Source organism: Homo sapiens, chromosome 18 (assembly GCF_000001405.40).
Source record: "Homo sapiens chromosome 18, GRCh38.p14 Primary Assembly".
NCBI classification, from domain to species: Eukaryota; Metazoa; Chordata; class Mammalia; order Primates; family Hominidae; genus Homo; species Homo sapiens.
This window is the reverse complement of record NC_000018.10, coordinates 33,621,372-33,646,200: the sequence shown is the minus strand read 5'-3', so window position 1 is coordinate 33,646,200 and position 24,829 is coordinate 33,621,372. Positions and strand designations below refer to the sequence as shown.

Below are 24,829 nucleotides of genomic sequence, written 5' to 3'. Positions count from 1 at the left end.
GCAACTAAAAACATTCAAAATACTTGCAGAATCCTACAGTATGATCAGTTATTTGTGACTTAACATTTCAATAATGATTTACTTTTTAATGTAAAATCATTCTTCCATTAAAAAAAAAAACTGGGTAAAGCCCATTGCTACTGTTGATTTTTTTTTTGGATAAATTTTTAAAATCTATACCCAAAAAAAGTTTCCTTTTGACATATGTTGTTTCCATCTTTTTTCAATTCTACAGTTTTCCTCATGTAAAGAAATGGCTTACCAACTCAGAATTTTAATCAGTTACTTAAATACCCAACTTGCTACAAAAAGCAATGGAAAAATTGCAAGTCTTTCTGATTAACCTGGGTTATTTTCTGAAACACACACAGTAGACCACAGCCTGATGCTTAGTAGCTAAAGAAGAATCCCTGCTTTGTTGTCTAACTTTTGACATTAAAAAAAAACTCACATGTAGTTAATGAACTTTAAATATAATCCATGACTTATTAAAGCAGAGACTTCTTTTTAATTTCTAAGAAATAACACAATGAATGTACTTATTCCAAGTTACACAACCATTTGTAGATTATAAGCTTTTGTCTTCTGGAATGTTGCATTTCAGGTGGCATTTCCCCTAGATAAAAATGGGAATGCCTTTAAAATAATTATACTAAAATAATTAAGACTCAGTTATCTGAAGCTTTTATTTCTCTCTTCTTCTCATACAAGTGTGCATTAGTAAAACTTCCTTGAGATCACGATTTGTTTTAAAATTGAATACTAGATTTAATTCAATGTTTTCAAGCAGAATGAATAAATGTCTTATTTTTATAAAAGACAAGGGCATACAGGTGTGAAGCCTGTATATCAACTGACGGTCATTAAGTCAAAGAGTTCATGGTAACTCTGCTCATCTTAAACTCCTGGCCAATGACCCATGACACTCCTCCCCATAAACTTTAAGGAATCAAGAATTTTAAGGAAGCTACAAGTATTCTGCATTACCATATGTCACGGAGTGAAACCACAGATATGCTTTCCTTAAAGAAAAATGTCATTGTTTATTCTTAATATGAAATCATTTCTAAGACATCTGTAAACATTTAAAGGCATAGGAGTCATTCTTCTACTCTTCAAATCTAATTTTGTTTACCTTCACATGTCTGAAAAAATGCATGATAATAGTAATAACAATATGCAGAACAATGCAACTTACTTTGAGAGCATAGAGGCCTGACTTTCCAGGGATTTTGAAGAATGTTCCATCCCCTATTCGAGTGTTAGTGTGAAGCATTGCATTCAGACAGGCTAATGGAGAGGTTCCACTAGAAAATAAAAGTGTGCAAAAATGAAGCAGTCTGAGGTACAGCTTCTATTGCAAAACTGTTCTCTGAGTCTCGCTCGCTCTCTCTTAAAAAAAATAAAAAAATAATTAAAAAAAGACCTCTTTGCATGCCTTTTAAAAATACCCTCTCAACCCTGAAAACATCTACATTACAATAAAGGGCTAGTCCAGTTTCACCAAAGTTAATCAGATGCATCTGTCTTATAAGGCTTCAGGCAAAAGTCTCTTGAATTGAAATTATGCTTTTATTCATAGAGTAACCAATACTATATTTTACAGAAACCAAAGCCCAAATACTTATGTGGTGTTATTTTACAAATAACACCATGAAGCCTTAGCTTTTAAATATTACAGACAACTTGATGGTTGCACTTGAATGATCAAAAAAAAAAAAACAAAAAAACCCACCAAGTTCAAGAGCAGCTCCATCCCATTCGTTTAAAAGCAACAAAAGAATAATAAACCAGGGAAGAACTGATTTGAAATTATAAGTATTTAAGTTACTCACAGGACTGCATTTCTCACATGGCAAAATAAGAATGTACATATGTGTTTCTATCTCTGATACAGCCTCTACAATGACATCCTTTTCTCAGTTAGATATGTCAAAGAAATATGTGTTGGGAAATTCTGTCCAGCTAACAGAATTCTGTAGTAAACATGCAAGTGATTGGAATATCAGATCACTTTTTAAAGAAATCAAACAGCATTAAACTAACATTTAAAATATCAAAGTACATATGTATAAACATTATTAGAATGAGTTCATATACTTGAATGATGTTTATAAAATATAAAGTACATATATATTTCCTGGAGTAGATTTTGGAACAAATTTTGTGTTTTGATTGCAAACTAATATTTAGAAGCTAAAATTTAGAGCTACAATTATTGCCTTTTAAAATTATACATCCATATACATTTTACTTCCTAATATGCCGAAATATCAATATCTGGTCAAACCAATTTTAGTTAAAAGCCCTAACCCCACTACACTCACATGCTTCTTAGGAATTATGGGTATTTAATTCACATTCTGAGACAATACAGCCTTTAGGATATGAAGCTTTCAAACTTTGAATTCGTAAGTTCAGAATTCTAACTTCAAATTTCAAGGATAAAGACATAATTTTGCTCCTAATTAAAAGTTTTCTAAAGATCAAGACTATCAAATCTCTTACTTATAATGAAAACTCACCAGTAAAATGGAAAAGTCAAATATGCTGAATTGCCAGAACACACTTAATAGCAAGGCAGCATATATATACATCATGGTCATAAGGATTTATAAGTATTATCATCCTACAAAGACAATTATTTTAGGAAGCAGCTTCTCTGTGCCAACATATAAATATGACTCCATTGAATTTGACAGGAAACAAGAATCTTAATATAAATTTGGTCACAGAACAATGCAGTTGTAACATTAAAGTACACATGGAAACAATGTTGTGTTTAGGTAATATCTTTCCTCATGAAGCTCCTACAAGTTTGCAGACCTCATTTCATTATTTTCTCTCACAAAATATTTTTCTCGTATTTGGAGAGGGCCCAGGCATACCTATAAAGTAAAATATATTCATCTCCCCAGAAATGTCTTTCCATGAATAAATTCCAAATAAATTATGCAATACATGTTATACTGAACATTGCAAATACATATTTTTACATTATATTCTTCAGACAAAAGCATAGAAAATTTGAAGCTAAGAATGATTATGCCAGATTTTTGGAGTTTTAATTTAGTAGAACTGTCAGAAATACAGACTTTCCGTAGGGACTTGGCAAGAAGATGTTAACACGACAAGTAAAATAGAATCCAATACATAAAAATGACACAATGTAGAATTTTAAAAATATAACTTAATAAAATTGTTCACCTAATATGAAACCTCACAATGCTGTTTCTTCTCTTTATTCCTAAGGCCCTAATGCACATGATTCCAACAACTCAGATTCAGCACGTTAAATAACAATACAGATTTAAAGGCAACGACTAAGTACTAAACAAATGTAACATTACTATAATTTACATTTCCTTTCTAAGGTATAGCAAGCTAAAGATAATTGTAGAAGATAAATTGGCTATTAAATAGCAATTTAATGCTGTGCTTGCTGCAAACATATGTGATAAGCACCCAGTTTTCTACAAATAATAAGCTCTATTAAGCATGAATATATTATTAAATTATACTGTTTAGTAACTCAATAAACACAAGATTTACTACGGAAAAATTTAAAAATATGTAATTCACAATCACAACATCTCCAAAGTCTCAATAACTATTGCAATTTCTATAAATCTTTCCCAAAAGAAACTTGTTTTATTTCAAAACTATACAACATTTGCATTAGAAAATAATTTGCAGTCAAATGCAAATTTTACAACTAAAATCACTCACTGATTAGTCACTTAGTTTTAAGCACACGAGTTTCATTCCTTTATGGAGGAAAAACTAGTTATTCTGGTCCGTTTTTTTAAAAAAACAATGAAAAATACGCATCAAATGAGCTAAATGCTTATTAAAAGGTAACTGATTCATCCAATGTAAAATATACAGAGGAAAATGTATTTCAAAAACATTTCATACCATTTCCTTATTGCTGCTATCCTCATCAATTCCATAAACTACAGAAAACTTAGACAACATTTTCTGCAGAAATATCTTAACTGCTATTGAATAGAAATAAATATAAGTCTTATGTAATTTTATTATTTTTATATTCAGAAAAAATAGAATTGGCATGTATACTATATATTGTATATACACATATATATATCTTAAACATAATGATTAACTGTGGGTAAAAAATGAGGCAGATGTACATGCTTTAAAAGTCTGTACTCTTAGATAGAATTGATTGCCTTCTATGTAATGGTTCTTATTTTTAATTTATTCAACAAAATTTTCTTCACAGTTAATGCAAAAGCTCATCACCTCAGTCGGAATTTAGAAGTTTGAAATCCTGTAACTATATGTGTGTGTATATGAAATAATAAAACATCCAAGTTTTAATTTAAAAGTCTCTGAAATTTCAAATTTACTTACTTTCTAACAAGATGAATTGGAAAAACCACGATATCCCGATTTATAGAAGGAAAACAAAAAGAAAGGAAGAAAACAAAGTTAGTTTTCCAACTTAAAACACAATTCTTCATCTTACCATTTCAACAAATAGGACAATGCACAGGAAACCCACCAAAGCCAAATTTGGCTGCCTATGGGGAGGCTGGGAAGAAAAAACTGGGGCACTGGGCTAAAAGGTGGCTTCGATTTTTTCCCCTAATACTTCTACGATGTTTTCATTTTGTTCAGAAAGCCCATGTATTTCTATATAATAAATATAACTAGAAATAAATAAGCAGGACACTATTTGTCCCCAATTCTTTTCTTTCTCCCATCCCCTACAATTGGGCCCTTTCCTATACACCTGCCAGGGTAGATATACAGCTTATTCTACTTGTTTGTTTTTCCCCCTGTACTGTAAGGCTGTGGACCCTTCTGGTTTGTTTTCATTTCCCACAACCCCTGAAGCAGAACGGGGTGGAATCTGGAGGCAAGGGAGCAGGCATAATTTAAACTGTCTAGACATCAAAGAACCCCTAGAGATGCTTTACAGAGCCCCAGTGCTGTGTGAAATACAGAAAAACTATTGCTTTATATTATCAAATTGCTGACGGAATACACACAATTTTACCGACAGTGAATACTTAGTGAAAGGAATGAAAGGCCTATCTATTAAATAATTTTAAAAACTAGACAGAATACCTGGGGAATGCAATTGGAAGACTATTTGCAGGCATGACAAAGAAAATATAATTGAGAGCCACTATTCCTTTATATATAACATAATGATTTATAATATTTCAGTAATACATATATTAAACTATTTTATTATATTGTTATGTCTTAATAAAAATTTCAGATGTAATCTATTTCCTGCTAACATTTCTTTTAGCCTCATTTTTTAAATATAGAAATGTAAAAAAATTAATTCTGTACAACAAAAGCATAAAAACAACAAATTCAAGCAGTTATTAAACACCATAATTAGTTACTGTGCTTAGTGCTATTAATATAAATTAATATAAACAATTATATGCTCATTCTTTCAAAAAAATTAATAATGCTTCTTTCAAGCATCTCAAATGTTAGCTTTGAGAAAATATAAAGAATATATTTTAAGAGTAAGTTAGGTGGGTCTCAGGTGCAAGTAACATTTTAATTCTTGATACAGTATCTGTGTTCACTTTGTGAAAATTGTTTAGAATTTGTGGACTAAACTCTGTATATACTTCACGAAAATTATTTTTGAATGTTAAAACATTAATAATGTACACTTAGATTTATTTATTTAATGGGCGTGTCTCTACTAGTGGAGAAGAATGAGGATGGCTCCTAAACACACATAGTAACCCAGTGTACATCAACTGACAACTCAGTAACCTAGATGATTACAAACCACCCTAGAAAAACCAAGGCCAAATGAACTTATTACTCTTGGGAGATATTATTGTCAATAAGAAACTCTCTAAAATGACTGAAAATAAAATCTTAAAATTTAGAGGGCTTTATATATGTTATCTGAATGATATATATATATATGTTTGTAATATATGTATATAGTTATATAAGTTAGCTGAATAATTCCAATACAAAATGATCTATACTAAGCCTCAAATTTGATAGTGAAGAAACAGTGTCCCAGACTTCATGGTCTCTCTACAATCACTAGTGAAAGCTTTTATTGTGCAGTAACATAAGAGGAATAAGAAAGATTTAGAAAATATAAACATAAATGGGAATAATCCATCAAATAAGAGACGGGTCACATTTCAAAGGAAGATATTTTGTGATTTTCTATGTGAGGATATGTGGTTTTTGATATTCAATATGTCTCTAAAGTAATGTTAAAATGCAGTATTGGCACTCTTTTTATCAGGAAGGATTAAGACAAAAAATATTTATCAAATAATATATGTTGTACACTTTAATTCTTAAATTTAGAGAAAGAACTTCGAACTCCAGACCTCAGTGTGTATCTCTTGTTGGCATGAATATGTCTGTTTGTACAACAAGTAGAGACATACATTTGAATTTAGAACTCTTATCCTATTAAAAACTACCAAGATATCATTAGATAGACTATAGCGATTCGTACAGCCACACTCACTAAATGGACCTATTGTTTTAGGAATCAAAAATTCAAAAACATTAATACAAGGACAAAAGTTTGCTTAGTATTATTTTAAAACAAGATCTACAGGGAAATTAAGAAATAGCCCTACATAAGCATAAACCAAAATATATGATCTGTATCATAATTTTCAAAGACCCTCAACTAAAATAGGAGGTGAGGTGGTTATCTTTAATTATAGACATCTAGTAAAGAACATGCCACACATACACCTAGACACTGACAATTGTTCCTCTACAATTACACATGCCATGACATGCTATATTACCATCCCTATGCTGGGGAGGGCGGTGGCGAACAACGAGGAAGACTGTGGGCTCTGGAGCCAGTCAGCCTGAGTTCAACAAGGTTGGGACCATTTAGGAGCTGTGTCACATTGGACTTCTCTAGGTCACAGGTCCCTTGACTCTAAAATGTGGATAATAAAACTCACTATGTCCTAGAGAATTAATCCGAAGATTAAATGCATTAAAACATATAAAGCACTTAGAACTGTGTCTGGTACGTGGTAAATGTTCAAAAATTGTGACTTATTTTATTAATACTACTACTGCTAACCATAGTAACCAACATCTAAATGTAAAAAGAATGACAAATGGAAAGAAATTAATATTTCACAGCTTGTTTAAAGAATTGGCTCAGGTAATATTTTAATTTTTAAAAAGATTTTAATTTCTAATTTCATTTTCATCTCAGTATCAAAAATAAGTGAAGACACAGGCATGTGTACACAGCTCGTCCATAGTCTGTCACATGTGGATAGTATTAAAAATAACTGATAACGTAGTAAGGGGACAGGGAGAAGAATGATGGCAACACATCTATTACTATAGCTACCATTTATTGAGCATCTATAATGTGCCTGGGCTTTCACAACTATTATCTATATGCCTCATAGCCACTCCAAAATGTAGGCATGATTCCCAGTTTTATAGACATGACTGAGATTCAGAGATGAGGAATCTTACAGAAGTCAGATAACAACTAAGTGATACAGATGAAATCTAAATTCTAATCTGATTCCAAAGCCCGTGCTCTTTCCACTATCTCACATTCTCTCTCCATAGAACTGCCTCCTCTATTTAATCTAACTTGAACACTTAAGCAAATATTTAGCACTTCAAGGAAATACATTTTTAAAGCCAGATGCTGCTAAATAAGGTGACCTGCTTCATTCTCAATTCTGACTTCTCCAGAGTAGATTTCAAATATAAAGAACTAGGCTGCAGAAGATGACATTGTTGGTTATCTTCCTCTGGTAATGTCACCAATGAAAACAAAGGAAGAAGAAACTTAAAGAAAATATGATAGAGGCCAGGCATGGTGGCTGATGCCCGTAATCCCAACATTTTGTGCGGCAGAGGCGAAAGAATGGCTTGAGATCAGGAATTCGAGACTAGTCTGGGCAACACAGTGAGACCTTATCTCTACAAATATATATATTTGTGTATTTGATAATATATATATATCATAAATAAGATATATATACACATAAGATATATATATACACACACTATGTGCGTGTATTATATATATATATACTATACACATGCACATATATACATATATGTGGTAGAGAATTCAGATCCATAATTGAGATGCCTCTTTATTAAACTGGATCATTAAGAAAAAACACAATTCTTTCACTGAACAAACATTTATTGAGCACTCTATTTATGTATGTCAAGCTAATCTTGAAATAAATTTGTACTCCAACAGTGTTTTGCACATAATAGAAATGTAGGCTGAGCTGAACTAAATTTTCTGAATACATATGAAATGACAGGGGACTCAGCAGAAAGGCAGCCTTGAGGCATGCTGCAAACAAGAGAAAACCATTTGGAATTTAAATGTTATCCTTAGTTTATTCCAAGATGACTGAGATGTGATCATGTACAAACATATCATGTCATTGACTCCTATGCAGAGGCAGTCAACCCATGGCCATAGGTGGCTCTTCAGGACTTTTAGCCTATTTCTCCACCCCTGCAAGCTCAAAAAAATTATTTCCAATTAGGTCAAAAACTGTATCTTACAAAATAAAATAGTAAATTTTATATATTAAAAGAACAGACATTGTAATTATATCTGGTATGAGTTAGTTTCATACTAAAATGTAAGTTTCTATATTCAACCTGTAGCTACTCATTCTCTCCCATCATATTAGCAATGGTCAATACTCCACCATTTCCAGAATCTGTTCTGTGGGATATCTGTCCCAAGTGTTGCTCAAAAACATTCTCAAATGTGTTTGAGAAATGTATGTTGCATTCTCCTTTTGCACACTCACCAAATACATTAATATATATTATTGAAGTCTCTGAAAAATCCTGTTTAACTCTGTGTTTTCTGATCATATATAATGAAAGAATCCTCTCCACCATAACATTTAGCAACAACGCCTATCATGGCATGCCAAAAAATATACTTAGAGAAATGTTATATCATATTTATATGATTAGGATAACTAGGAATAAAACACCTAGCAGTCAGCACTCCCAGGAATGTTTAATTTTATTAAGCAAATGTTAAAAGATTACTTGAAAAATGTGCAAAAGCTCTCTTTTTCTGTGAAAAATACAGTGTGATGATTATTTTCCCTGTATAAATTCATAAAATTGAAAAACACATCCAGGAAGTGTAAATAGCATTGAAAATTCACAAACGTATCTCTATGTACTTAAAAATACTATGTATTTGCAATACAGGTTGAGTAGCCCAAATCTGAAAATTTGAAATGCTCCAGAATTTGAAACTTTTTGAGCACCGACATGATGCTCAAAGGAAACACTCATAGGACCTTTTAGGATTTCAGATTTTTAGATTTGGGATGCTCAACTGGTATAACACAAATATTCAAAATTTTTTTAAAAAAATCCAAAATCCAAGACACTTCTGGTCCCAAACATTCTGAATAAGGGAAACTCAACCTGCATTATATTACCCAACAGATGCCACATCTGACATGAAATGCATCTCCTCAGAGCAGATCTTCCTCCTGATCCCCACTAGCCTCACTCAGCCGTGGGCACAATCTTCCTCCTCCAGTACCCATGACTGATGCATCACAAAGCCCCAACTACGTTCACCTGAAACCTTACATTTTCACTTCATTACATTCTATTTCAAAAAATCTTTACCTCATTCACAAGACAATTCTATAATCTCTAACTGGTCTCCCTGCTTCAACTCCCAGGTCCAATTCGGCCTACACACTGGTGCCAGATAATTTTCTTATTTAAAAACAACAACAGAAACACTGCTCAGACTGCTTCTTAGCCATGCCATTCACTGTGGCTGTGGCTGTTGTTGTGGCTGTTGTTGTGGCTGTTGTTGTTGCTGTTGTTGTTGTTGTTGTTGTTGTTGTTGAATCAGTGGTTTTCACTGCCCACCGAAGGAGGCACAAAGTCCTCAGGCCAGCATTAGGGTCATCTACAACACAGTTGGCATCTACCTCATCTTCATCTTCTCCAACTCTCAGACCACTCTCCTATAATCCAATCCAACTCAGTAAATCACCAAGCTTCTATGGTTTCCCATGTCTGCTCTGGCTACCATCCGTATGGGGAAGCCTTTTACGACCTAAGATAGCCCCATTCCTTTAGAACAATCACGATACTTTGCATATCTCTCATGGTTTATTTTCTTTGAAAATTGTTTACACCTTTAACTTTCCTGCCCTTACTACTTCCAACAAGTTTGGAAATTCCACAGGAGATAGACATATTTATTTTTATATTGCCTGACAAGCAACACCAATGTACTCAAAAGTTGTTTGTTGAAATACATTTAATCACTAAAATAAAAGCTGTTACGATCATGGATGTGTAGACATAAAATACATGCAATGAACATCACCAAAATTCTTTTTAAATTCATGGCTGCAATCATGTCTGTGAAGGACTCTATATACCAAAAGGCTGCAGTGGCCATCTTATATTTGCATACCCTGCATTCTTTTCTTTTAGGGACTCTCCCTTTCATAACAATGTGATTCCAGTGTATGCATCGATAAAATAGGATTGATTTCATCACCAGTAAGGCTGGCCAGATTAAACTATCTACTTGGTCATAGAAATTGGTAAGCTGGTGGAATTTTGAGTGTCTTTTCAAAAACAGATACAGAAATAAAAGGAAAGAGTATAAATTATCTTCCAGTAATAACATTAGCTATAAAGACACAAAAGAGAATAGCTGGTGCCTATCTCTGCCTCCACAAGGCCAGGGCCTGCAGGGGATAAAGCTAACCAGAGGAAAGCAGAGTAAAGCATGGAAAGAAAAGGGGAGAAAAGATCATGGGAACTCCCGTATTGCCTGGTCATGTTGAAGATCAACCTGATGGATGCCCAAGTTAAATAAGCCAATAAGTCTCTACCTAGTTTTATTTTGGATGCCAAAGAGAGAGCTTATATGACTTGTACAAGCTGACTATTTTTCTAGGCCTCATTTACATAGCGATAGTGAGTTTAAAATACACGTGTTTTGAGGCTCTATTAATCCATTTCTGGTTAAGGTTTTAAGGGCAATTAGTAATAGTTTGACTATTAGCTTTCTAAAGCCCATTCCAATCAGGCTGCCTCTCAGCATGTTTCTCTCTTCCTCAATGCCCACTGCTCTCCTCTCTTCCTACTCATTTGTCAAGATCCCCTCATCTTCATCTCCTAAAAGCTACTAATCACCTCTGCAGTCCACAATGATGTTCTCTGCACTTCCAAAGGCATTACAGCCTATGCTACTATTGTAGCATTTAGTTCTGTGCAGTCTACCACCACACTGCTTGATGGCAACTAGCTCCTTGAGGACCCTGACTTTAATAAAGATTCTAGGTGTTCACCTCATAGCGCCTTGCCAGGTTTGAGTGCTCGGAACACATTCAGGGGCTTGTTGATAAGCTAACATTTTACCATTTACAGAAAACAAAATTTCAAGCCTGACAATTCCATGTGTTGGCTGAGGACATCCAGAAATGGGAAATATTAAATACTCCAGTGAGAGCATAAACTGATATAACCAATTTGGAAAGGCATTTGGCAAGATCCAGTTTTTAAAAAAACTGTGCATGCTCTACAGATCAGCAATCCACTTTTTGGTACAGACCATAGAAAAACACATACTTTCACAAAAAGACATTATTAGTTATAGGAAAAATAAATTGTAAATAACTTAAATGTTCAATAGGTTATAGCTATAGATTTAGATATATTTCCCCTATAGATTCATAATAAAAGTATAAATTCTGAACTATGACAATACCCAGCAAATCTATGACACTGCTTCTGAGGAGAAAGAAGAGGAAATCAAAGCAACTTCAGCTTTTTGTTAGACTTTATTAAAAAAAAAAAAAAGAAGCAACTATGCCACATCCACAACTGTTAATTCCAGCTACTGTTTGTTGGAACGTGGGTACTCTGCTGTATTTTCAAAGCAGAAAAAAATTGTTTATTATTTTCTTCCTCACAATGTGACTCTTCTCTAATTTTGTCAGATTCTTGCCTTGATTCAATTAATGTTTTCATGCAAGCAAATGTAATTACATGGAAAGTGCAAAAGTACATCATTATACCCAGTTAAAAGTCCTCCTCAACTCCCCTCAATCCCATCCACTGCCTCAGAATGAATAACTATTAAATGTCAACCATGATTTCTTCCCGATCTTTTTGTATTTACATTCATATATATGCATATATTCAACTTTATGGTTTAGATTTTTACATTTATTTTCAATACAAATGAAAACATTTTTTGCTCTTAATATTCTATAGAATTCTTTCAATGCCTTAACATTTTACTTTATTAATTGTTACTTGAATTTTTTTTTTTTTTTTTTTTTTGAGATGGAGTCTTGCTGTGCCGCCAGGCTGTAATGCAGTGGCCTGATCTTGGCTCACTGCAACCTCTGCCTCCCGGGTTCAAGTGATTCCCCTGCCTCAGCCTCCCGAGTAGCCAGGACTACAGGCACGCGCCATCACGCTCAGCTAATTTTTTTTTGTATTTTAGTAGAGACAGGGTTTTGCCATGTTGGCCAGGATGGTCTCAATCTCCCGACCTCATGATCCACCCCCCTTGGCCTCCCAAAATGCTGGGATTACAGGCATGAGCCACCGCGCCATGCGTGAATTTTTTACAAGTGTATATTCTGCTTACAAATAGTGGAAAATTGATAAGATGTATAAGGCATTAATGTAATTTGACATTACCAAAAAGTAACATATCAAAAATGCAAATTAGTTTAATTATAAGATTTTGAATGTTTTTAATATCCACGTAATGTTCTTAAGAGTCTATAAAATATATGTACTGTATCATAATTCGTTTAAGTATTTCCTTATTACAGAACACTTAGTTTGCATTTAATTTCATCCATGAAAAAAGTGCTACAATAAAGAGTTTTATATAGTGTTCTCTTTGTTTATGTACAACTATCTTCCTACAATAAATAAAAAGATTGTATTTCCAGTTGGAAGTGTGCTTTGTAAATTTTAATAGCTACTTCCAAATTACCTTCTAATGAAAGTAACTAGTTAATGACGGATAGTATCAATCTTTAAATTTTTGCTAATTCACTCCAGGGGTGGAGATGAAAAGGCCATACCACGTGGGAGGAGCAGCACAAGGGAAGCACAAATGGACAGAACTGAATGTGGTGTGCAGGAACGTGATTCCAGAGCGAGGAGTAGAAGAGCGAATAGGATAGGAATCAGATTCCAGAGGGAAGGTCCACACCACTTCATGGCTCATGACATTTAGTTCCACAGTTTAAATGCCATGGCAAGGAGCTTAGACTTCATGCAGGAGATGATAGAGAGCCCCAGAGGACTTTAACAAGGAAGGTGCTCTTGTCCATTTATTAGCACAAAGATAGATTTCAGCTGAGATACACCTAGAAGACAGACCAGTTAGAAGCCTGCGGGACTGGCCTGCAGGGAAGATGGAGCAAGCTTCGCCAGAGAACTAATGGTAGGCAGCAATGTGGAGAAAGTCAAGAAATACATGCAAAGACAAAAAACAAAACAAAACAGTAGGCTGGTTTTTTCTTGTTGCTTTTTGGACAAAGACACTGACAAAATGTGTGAGATAAAGGAGAAGAAGGAGTTTAGGACTGGGAACTAGAGAAGAATGGTGGTATAATTAAGATGGACAATACAGAAGAAATCAGTTTGACAATATGATGAATTTAGTTCTGGACTCAGTGATTTAACAGTATGCATCCAAAATTCAGATATGTACATGCATCAGAGAGTTAATGGTGGTGTTCAGGATAAACACTGGGGCAGCTACCAGTATACAGACAGTATTTAGAAAATGGTGACAAGTGATTGTCATGGTTGTAGAGTAATAAGAGAAAAATGACTGATGTGAGTTCTTTATATTCCAAACTTCAGAAAACTATATGAGAAAATATTACTAAGATCAAAGAAAGGAAAAAAATCCTATAAGAATTTTATTATAATATGATATATACCCTAGCATCAGCATATAATTGTTTTATAAGCCAGAATAAATCTCTCTACTCATAGGTAGAAATAACCTGTAAGTAGGAAGCTATCTAGGCGATCTGGCCAGAAGGAACCATTTCTTTAAATACAGTTTTTTCTTTGTAATACAAGAACATTACTAAATGCAAATTGAAGAAAAGATGAGAAAAATCACTCAATATACCAACTCCTGAACATAACTCTAAGCACTTTGTAAACTTTCTTCCAGCCTAATTCTTTCCATTTTAAATTTATAATTTATTTAAATGCTGAATAACAATATTTATATCATTTTACATACTACCACAAAACTATCAAAAATATCACATCAAATGGTTTAAAATATTCTGTAAACTTGTTTCAAGTTAGTGGTCTTCAACCTGGCTATATATTCGAATTTTAGGGAAATTTTTAAAAAATGCAAATGTCAGGGCCAACTTCACACTTATTAAGTAAAAATATCTGGATGGGGCTGAGGTGTCAGTGTTTTCTTAAATCATTCCAAATGATTCAAATGTGCAACCAAGTTTGAGAGTCGCTGATATCAGCAGCGAACATTTAAATTGTCCTTTAATTACAATTAAAATAGCACTGCTATGAATATCTTAATGCATATTATATTCTTTTCTTATATAATCAAGAATACTTTATATTAGGTTTGTAGAGTGGCATTATTAATTCATGAGATATGGGTTATTTAATGACCTTTGTGAATAATGCCAACTGACTTTTCAATGTATTGTTTTGGTTTACATTCTCACCAGCAGTATATAAGCAAGACGCATCACTTGGAATCAAGAATGAGATGCAAAGACTGATTAATTTATTAGGTGAACTAAAAAAACAATTCTCAAGGGTTGCTTTAACTCTGATTTTTAGGATTATTAGTAAGACTGAATGCTTATCCACATATTTGTTTATTCCTTAGTTTTATGCGTTAGAGCTCCTCTGCTGTTCCTGTCCTTTGACCATGATGCTAGAGGGTCATTGGTTTTTCTTGTTGTTTTAATAATCTCTTCATATAATACCTCTAGCATATTAACTAAAAATATTTTCTCCATGGTTTATGACTTAATGTTTTGTTTTTCATATGCAGATACATAAAATGTTATGTAGCCAATTATCTCCATCTTTTCCTTTGTGGTTTATTTCACAGCTTCTAACTGTGAAGTTATTTCCCTGTCAAAGGTGGATTTAAATGTTACATTTAAATTTTTTCTAATTTTTTTCTATTGGTATGACTTTTCATATTTACATTTTTGATTGTGTCTGTATCTTTCTCAACATAAAACACATATTACATGTTGAAGAAAAAATTATTTTCAAAATGTAAAAAAATTACATGTTGAAGAAAAGCATATTACATGTTGAAGAAAAAATTATCATTTGTAATTGTTTTCTATGGTTCAGAAAGAAAAACAGCAGAGTTTCCTTGTTCATTATCTAATTTTTGATTCATCCTCCTACCCCTTTCTCTCCAGAAAATTCTGATACTACTCATCTGAAATTCCTTGATCAGCAGAATGTCAAAAGAATTCAGCTCAGCATTTTGCTGGCTATGGGAAAAATTTTACCTTTAAATGTTTGATAAAGGAAATGTCTAAAAATAACTAACTTAACCACTAGTGTTAAGACTGGCATTCATAACACAAGACGAGTGCCAATTTAATTTAGCTTCTTTCTCCTCTCTCCTCCTCCTTCTTTATCCACCTATATTCTCAAGGTACTTTGTCCACTGGTGGTTTCCATTTTGATTAGAAGTGCTACCATATAAACATACTTTTTAAAACATAAGCTTTCTAGAAAAAAAAAAGCCATAGGTTTCTGTAGTAAACTGAAAGTTTTGTGAAATTCAAACATCATAGTTATTTAGGATGGTGTGAAATATATATATGTAAAATGCAGATAGAATTATGAAGTAAAAACAAACTTTACAAAAGGACGAATTTCAAAGTAAGTCCTCTTATGGAAACAAGAGGCTTTAGAAAGGAAGTATAACTAGAAAGAGCAGTGAATTTAAGCACCCTTCCCCTCCCCAGACTTAGTATGTGACACTTAAAAATACATCTTAAGAATCCAGTAGTAGGCCTAAAAGAAATTCAATACACCTAGTTCTTGTTTTAATTTCACCCTCAGGGAAATATGATTCATGAGAAACCTAAGTTCAGAGCAGGGGGTCGCAGAAATGCCTATGCTTGCTACAAGCCAATATTAATACTCTTCTTCCGTACATTAAAACCAGTAAAATAAAGGTCAAGATGACTAGGATCAATGTAAATGTTTAAAGAGAATAAATAACAATGTTGCAAGCTAATAGTTTTTAAAATTTATAAAATTATACATACATATTAATAAATTCCACAAGCAATGCTACTAATCAGTTATGTAAGTATTACTTTTGTTTTACAGAAATATCTTCCTTAGGAAAAAACGTGCGTTTTGATTACCCATGAGGAGAAATGTATCTATAAACAAAATAAGATTTCCTGTGCATTATTTGACAGCAATATCAATGTTCCAACCAGACACACAGAGACTCTCCAGAGAGCAATTCCAATAACGAAAAAGGAGAATATGTAAATGTAATCGGGGTAGAAAAGAGAATTGGAGAGCCAAGGTAGTAGTTCAAGAAAAAAATTATCTTAAACCTGGGCCCCTATTTAATCAACTAACTAAATGGCAACTGATTAAACCATGGCTAAAATTATAGAGAACTACCTAGGTTTACGTAACAAAAGGATAAATATTCTTCTGTTTCCCTTCATTTTTCAATCTTCCTAAAAACACAACTTGGGATATCACAGTTTCTGGCCATTTGGCAAGCATCTTATTTAAGTAAGCACAACTCCAACCAACTCATTTAACTTGAATTAATGTTCTTGGTCTTTTATATTGCCACTTAAAGCTTTCAGGAAATAGTTTCTGGATACACCTGCCACCTAATTTCATGAAATCAATATCTCACTAAAGCTAAGTCAGGAAATCTTAAGGTGCTGAATTCAATTACAAATGTTACTTCAGGAGTTGATAGTAGATAAAATATAGCATTGACATTGAAAATCATTACAGTTAAAGGGCTTTACTTCTTTTGGCGTGTGGGGGGATTGTTTTCTAAGGTACTAGTAACAATCAGTAATGACAACATGACGTTAGGATAACAGTAACAGCTTTAACCTTTCTAGTGTCAACGTCCATTTATAAGCACAGAAACAACATCCTCTCTGACTACACCTGAAATAAATCTATTGTAATGATGAGAGACAGCGATCATCAACATAAAAATGAAAACTGCTAGTATGAATTCAAACTCCATCCAAAGATGAAAACAACCATTTACTGAAATCCAGACAAGTTACTCTTTAAGTAGAACACAAGAATTCACCACATCTCTGTCATATGTACCATGTTATACTTAAAAGCAGTGGTAAGCCAACGTTCCACATAGAAAAATTTTTGCAGACACATTAAAAACAAAAAAAGCTTTTATAAACAGTAAACACCTGATATTTGTCTTCAAATGCTGTCTTTCCTCAGATAATTAATTACTAACCACCTGATTGCCTTCCATGCACAGATCCTTAGAGTAAGTTTCTAGGATCCAGTGTGGGGTATCTTTACTTCATTTTCAGCATAGAGTGTGAAGAAATGTCAGAACAAAGATAGAAAATCCAAAATTCTAAACCTGTTCATTTGATAATCTTAAAATTGTTCCTTTTATCACTTGGCTTTTCAAACTAAGTGTGAGGAAAACTCTGGAAATTTTCAAAATCAACATTATCCTAATACATTCCTATGTCTCTCATTTCCTCCTTGGTTTGTTCATGTCTCCTAACCATCATTTTCTTCTTCTTTTCAAAATCTTTTCTCTAGGGACCCCACTTCAAGTCTAACGCTTGCCTGTGGCCCACAGTGACGGAAATACTGAGCTTTGGAATGGGCGAGACCGAGGCCAAATAATAGATCTTTCCACTTATCATTGTGTGAAGTTAGGCAAGATACCTAGCTTCTCTCAGCACCAATTTCCTCATCTGTAAAATGAAGAAACAGCACCCACTTCTCAATGTTACCATCAGGAATAAATCAGCTAAAAAAAATAGAAACTGCTTGGCTCAGTGCCTGACACTGATCAGTTACTACATAAATGTTAGTTTCCTGCCTTTTTGCCAAAATGACATTGAACAGACAGTTCTAATGATATTTACAGACACATACATCTGTGTTTTCTTTTCAGTTCTTTACCTGTATTCTACTCTTAGACCTAATAAACTTCTTTCATGTTCAACACTCAGCAAGCTTTTCATTAGTCTAAAGGAAAATACTGAAATCATATTATATAAATAAATAACCAAGAACAAGCACCACATTTCTAAGCAACATGTTCAAAATTGGAGAAACTCTAGTATATTCCTTGTAAAAATTTAAAATGCATGAGCAGTTTAAGGCAAAGTAGAGGCAGTATTTATGCTGCAAATTCCTTAAAACTACAACCCAATTTGATTCTTAGGAAAGCAGAATCAGAATAATGAAGTGCTTTCAGTGAAGATAAAACAGTCACCGGGAAAAATCAGCCTCAAGAATATTTATTAATGTCATCATGCTACTTTGCTTAAAAGGGTCCCAAGGAAAAGAGTGAACAAGGAGACTACAACTTCAGCAAGAAAGATCATGGAGATGCAGTCAATGTTCACAGGGAAAAAGGCTCTGGATATATACAAGAAAGGAAAATAAAACATTTCTATCTAATATTACATAGGATTTTCATGTTTAGATAAATTTGTGGTTAAAATATGGCCACAGTTTACACAAACTGTTAATTCAGACAGAGAAATTAGAAAGCACACCAGAGCCTCTCAAATTTTCACTTTCCAACAATTCACACTTTCTCACTTTCCATTCTAGACTGCACTGTCACACTGACAAAACAGAAATAACATATGTGAGCGACACCAATCTGGGAATCACTCTCATAACCTTCTACCCAGTCATTCAAATCGCACTGCCTGGCCTTCAGTTGTCCATTTGTCCTCTCATGCCCACTAAATGACAGGGGAATGAGTGACTCTTATGGGGTTCCTTACGGGAAGACCCTCAATGTCCATTTTCACCCAACGTCACTAGCTGGTACCTACCCGGAAGGAATGAACGGAACCACTCCAATGCAATCCCAGCCACTCCTGCTAGTTCAAGCATTCGGTTCAGCATCACCTCATGACCAACACGAAAGCAGCTGAGGCTCTAATATAATCATCATGGAAAGTTGTCCCAAATCCTTCATTGGAGGAAGATCCTTCATACACACCAACGCTGTCTCCAAGCCATGCCGGGGTCTGAAACCAGACTGGAAAATATTATATATGTGTATATATAGTAAAACTCCCACAAACCACTCTTCTATTTTGTCATATTTATTTACAGCTGCTTAACCAATCCTATATATATATTGCCTTCTCAAGATGAAAATATGAACATTCAAGGAAAGATCCTTTCCATAGCAGAAGGTAAACTTAAAAGCATATGAAGACCTGGTGCTGCCTGTTAAGGTTGTTGAGGTGATCCCAAATGGAAAATAGTTTGTCCTGAAGGGAAGAAAGAAAACACAATATTGGTTTCCAAGGCTAATCTTCTAAACAGGGTGGACAGAATCCAGTATTTAAAAGAGCATGAGGAAAAAAAAAAAAGCCTTGACCCAGCAGATAGAATAGCAATGCCAGATTAACCCCTGAAGGTCTATTTGATATTATAAAATGTGCCTTGACTCCTCCTGAATCCCACCACTTTCATAAGTCTAACTACCATCACCTTGACAGCATTATCTGACTCCCTCCTGATCAAAGAGCTCAAGACTGATTGCACTTGCTTATGATGGAGCAGGGCCAGGAACCTTAGAAGGAACAACAACTTGAAATGGTAAGATTTTTTTTTAAATGATCAATGGAGCTACAATAGCTATCATACATAAAAATCAAAAAAGAATTCAAACCAAGTAAAAGAATTTCCATTTTCCTTCTCCTTAATGAATAGGCTTTTTAGAAACAAAGTAATAGACATTACATAGAGTATTTAAAGTTGAACCAGAGAATTCACTGTTTTTTTTTCATTGAGTCCTTTATTATAAAAAGACTGAGGACTATTTCCTTTCCGCTTGCCCCTTTCACCTAAACTACCATAATAGTGACAACTGGAACTTTTAGTCCTACTGCCAAATTTTACCAACTTCCTCTAGTTCCAGAATACATCTAAAACAAAATTAAGTGGGTTAAATCACTGCAGCATTATTTTCTATGTACTTACCCTAAATTATTTTTGAGTCAAGCTGCTATCTATAAAAATGCTCATCATATATAATTGCATTTAAGGTTAACAGAATTCTGTCTTCTTATCTCCACTTAACTTGCTCTACTTGACCCCATTCCATCCTTGTCAGTTATTTTCTATCTATATTAAAACAAAGAAAACTTGGAAATATCCACTTGGTGTACTGCCTCCCCTACCTACTTGGTATATATTTTGGTTCCTATGTCAATTATTCTGCTGATGTCAGATACCTAGAAACCTTTTAGATAGATTTGGACCTGAGATAGCAAACATAACATTCATTATGTTTTTCTGGACATCTTCACTAACTTCACTATATCTCATAAAGAATAACATGTCTCTCACTAAGGATAATGCAAAGAATTGACTCACCTAGGCATAAAACTCAGAAAACATTATTTTGAAAGAGAGAGTTCACTTGGTTGCTTAGTAATATGAAGTAGTTTTCTTCCTAAAATTTTAAATTCTCATGTTTGACATACTGACTTCCTGTTGCATAACCTGAGGTTCCAATCACAGTCAAGTACAAGAATCTTCTCAAACCATTCCTTATACAAATATTGGCTAAAGATGTCTAAGTAATATATGTTCAGTCAAATAAACATTTGCTGTGATGGCCACTATGATCTAGGAATCATACAGGACGTGCAAACGAGTGAGATATGCTACCAGCTTTCTTGGAATTCATAGTTTAGTTCAGAGAAAGAGTTATTAAAAAAACAACGATAATGATACACTAGAAATTCCCCCAAGGAATACAAAAGAAGAAACCATATTTCTTGGGGGAAGTTTCCCAGGAGCACTAACCATCTGTATCTTAAATGATAAAGGAGTATTAACGTGGCAGTGATCCTAATAACCAACAGAGGCTAAAGCATTAGTGTATGTATGTGCAATTTACAAGAATCTCGGAAACCAGATTACTGTTCATAATTAAAATATATTCTATGCTGTATTTAGTTTAACAGGCAGCAAACTATTTCAGTATAATGGAAAAATCCTAGCATATAATGAATGTTCAATAAATATTAAACTGAGGATCTCAAAGACAGAAGCGCACAAATAATGACACAGATTTTCCAAAGAATTATTTCCTACATACATATGCACCTCCTAAGAGACAGCAAATTGGTTTTGCTCCCTAAAGTCTCTTCTCCAAATTTCCATTTTGTGTATATGAAGCTTCATAATCACATTTCAAACAAAATTTGGATGACGGTGCAGACACAGGACTTTAAGACACATCCCTTTTCCCCAAAAACATACCCATCAGATAATGGGCAGAAATACTGTCGGGATACTACTGTTAACACTTATGAGTATGGACGGTGGGAAAGCAAGGGAAATTCTACATCAATATCATACATTCAGAAGGTTGAAGTGACCTAAGTATGAAAATAGCTAAAGAAATATCACCACTGCCTCCACCAAAATACAACAACAACAAAAAAACCTGAGCACTAATATGTTAAGTGAATTGGGATTTATTGTAAATGAACTGTCATTATACCAAACATGGCAAATTAGGAAATATCAATAGGTATAATTTGCTACATAAAGTTTTAACTTCACAGTAAAAAAAAAAAATGCTGAGTTACAAATAAGATCCAAATAAAGCATCTCAGTTAATAAAGGATAATTTACTTATAGGTAGAGTGTACATCAGGAAAATCCCAATCCCTGATATTGGAGTCCCAAAATTAGTTTTTCTTTTTAATTTTATTTTTGAGACAAGGCCTCACTCTGTCACCTAGGCTGGAGTGCAGTGGCACAATCACAGCTCACTGCAGCCTGCATCTTCTTGGCTCAAGCAACCCTCTCACCTTAGTCTCCCAAGTAGCTAGAACCACAGGTATGCACAATCACACCTGGCTGGTTTTTTTTATTTTGTACATAAGGGGTCTTGCTATATTTCCAAGAATAGTCTTAAACTCCTGGCCTCAAGCCATCCTCCTGCCATGGCCTCCCAATGTGCTGGGATTACAGGCACAAGCCAGCATACCCAGCCCCAACATTAGTCGTTAATATATATTAAAAACAACTGAGGCTCTGCTTCATTAAGTAACAGTAGTTTTATATCCTGTCATGGAATCTGAATAAAGAACACTAACTAGACTCCCTTTTCTAACTACTGATGAAATTTTAGATAAAAAATAAATATCAGATATTTTAATATTTCTTATGGAAACATGAAACATTTGGCACCAGTATGCCAAAATACTGCTGTAAAATATCTTAGAATGCAAATTGGATTTCATTCTATCTTGATTATCTTTCTCCAAATTTCTAACAATGGCAGCAAACAGTGACATCTCATAAACTAAATATCTTACAACTGACAGAACATTTTTCAAGTTTTTGCAAATTATTTTATTTTTATAATAGTTTGATGCAAGAATTATGATTTCCCCTGTTTTACTGGAAAGACAAGAAAAATAGTCTAAGTGACTTATCCAAGATAACACATTATGTTCAAAGAAGAAACAGAGCTAGAATTCAAATTTCCACTCATTCAATCTGAAAATATCACAAGTCCAGTATTAACAAGGACACCATGGGGAAGAGAAGATCAATGAGACGTGAACTCTACCAATTAAGCAAACTGCAGTCCTATTACAAGAAAAATTGAGAGAGTTTATTAGATACTGCAACAGAAGAACACACATATTACGTTAAAATGAAATTGCAAAGATAAAGTGATTAATTGAAGCTAAAGGAGTGAAAGAATTCTTCACAAGGAGGTGCTATGTGACATTTGAATTAGGCCTTGAAGGTGGGGGTGGAGAGCAAAAATTGGTGAAGGCCATTAGAGGCTCAGCATTGTCAGAGAGACCTAAAATATAAGGAGTGTCTGTGTAAACTATATAGGTAATTTTTTTCAAAGGTAAAAAGTGATAACACATCTTTAATATAAATCAAGCCCACACATGGGATTTAATGAAAAAACAGATTTGGCAGAGGCTGGTGGTTGTTCTCCAAGAAGGACCCTTCCCTACAGTTAAGATCCTCCACTTTTTATCTTGGAACATGCCTCCTCGAATAAAGATCTATTCTCTAGCCTCCCTTTCAGCTCAGTGCAAGTGTATGTCTAAACCAATGGGACATGAGTAGAACTGTTTATTCAACTTTCAGAGCATGTCTTTAAAGGGACTATGCATGCCCCTTCTTCCAGCTGCAAGCTATCTGAGACCACTGGGATAAGAACAAAATCCTAGAGACAGCAAAGCAACAAGACAGAAGGACCTAGCTTCCTTGATATCCTGGGGTAACACAGCTATCTCATAACTCATAGGACTACCCACCTTCAGACTGCAACATGCAAAGTGAACTTCTATTTGATTATGTCATTTAAATTTTGGGACTCCATGATACCCATGCAAACTTACACATCAGCTTACAGAATAGATTGTGCTATAAAGTAAACAGCTAATTTCTTGGATCTTGATTCTCCAAACTAAGAAAAACAATCTGAAAATATTTAAATTAAATGCAAAGGGTTTAATAAAATCAGCAGCATACACTTGTAACAGGCTATCAAATGCATGTTTTAATTTTAGTCTACATAGCAAGCCTAGACAATAGGAAGGTCAGGGATCAATATCACCATTTTGTATGTGATGAATAAGACAACACATAATGAATTAATTACACAAAGCATTTGATAGCTCTGAATTATATTGGATTTAGCTGCTTTTAATCAGTAAAATAATCATTACATATATTATATACTGCATTTGATACACTAAAGATCCATTCATGAAGAAAATTTAAATGTTACTAATGCCAGAAAAAATAATCGGTAAATGAAAACTTGATTCTTACTGTCTCTTCACATTACTTCACAATGCTTTCATTTACTGATTGGGCTTTTCAGACCATTATATTTTACTGTGATTATATTTAAATATTTAATTGCTATCCATTTTATTTTTTATAGAGAAACAGAAGGAAAATTCAATCAGAAAACATAAAATATAATGTAAATAAAGAAACAGAGTGGGTTGTTAAGTCCATGGGGAAAATCTGAAAAGAGAATAGCTGTTGGACAAACCCTCTTAATCAAATTGTCTACAGACAAATCTATTGGCCCTTGCCTCACATATCCCATAGTTAAATGCATTCCAAACAAAAACTGGAAAATAATACTCAATTCAATGATTTCTCTCTGCGAGGTCGTCATTGGCTCACCATGCCTTACTGAGCTCAATGGCTCTCTCCACCAACCCATGGTGGGAATCTGAGCCAGTCACAGTCCCTTCCTTGTTCTTTTCAGTCTTCCTTTGGGTGAGGTCCTGGTGGCAACAAGAAGCCAATGAGACCAGAATCAAAAATTTTAGATCACTATTTGAAGTACAAATTATAGTACAATCTCTCTTGCATCCCTAACTCCTGCCAACAGTTTTACAACTATTTACTATTAGGTAGGTGCAAAAGTAATTGCGGTTTTTGCCATTCCTTTCAATGGCCAAACCCACTGAATAGTACCTAAGAACTATTTCAATAGTTCCATTTC

General features: G+C 33.9%; 1 protein-coding gene across 8 annotated transcripts in view; it reads right to left on the bottom strand.

Moving 5' to 3' along the window:
- Positions 1 to 24,829, bottom strand: part of ASXL3 (ASXL transcriptional regulator 3) — a 172,977-nt gene that overhangs the window by 104,995 nt on the left and 43,153 nt on the right. For 5 of the 8 annotated variants that reach the window (XM_005258356.2, NM_030632.3, XM_011526205.3 and 2 more), the window contains one exon: positions 1,199 to 1,307. In XM_005258356.2, coding sequence (XP_005258413.1) covers positions 1,199 to 1,307 — 109 coding nt within the window. Of the gene's footprint in view, positions 1 to 1,198; positions 1,308 to 18,880; positions 18,884 to 19,130; positions 19,340 to 24,829 lie in introns of all 8 variants that reach the window. The other 3 variants (XM_024451269.2, XM_011526209.2, XM_011526212.2) reach the window with 3 other exon arrangements.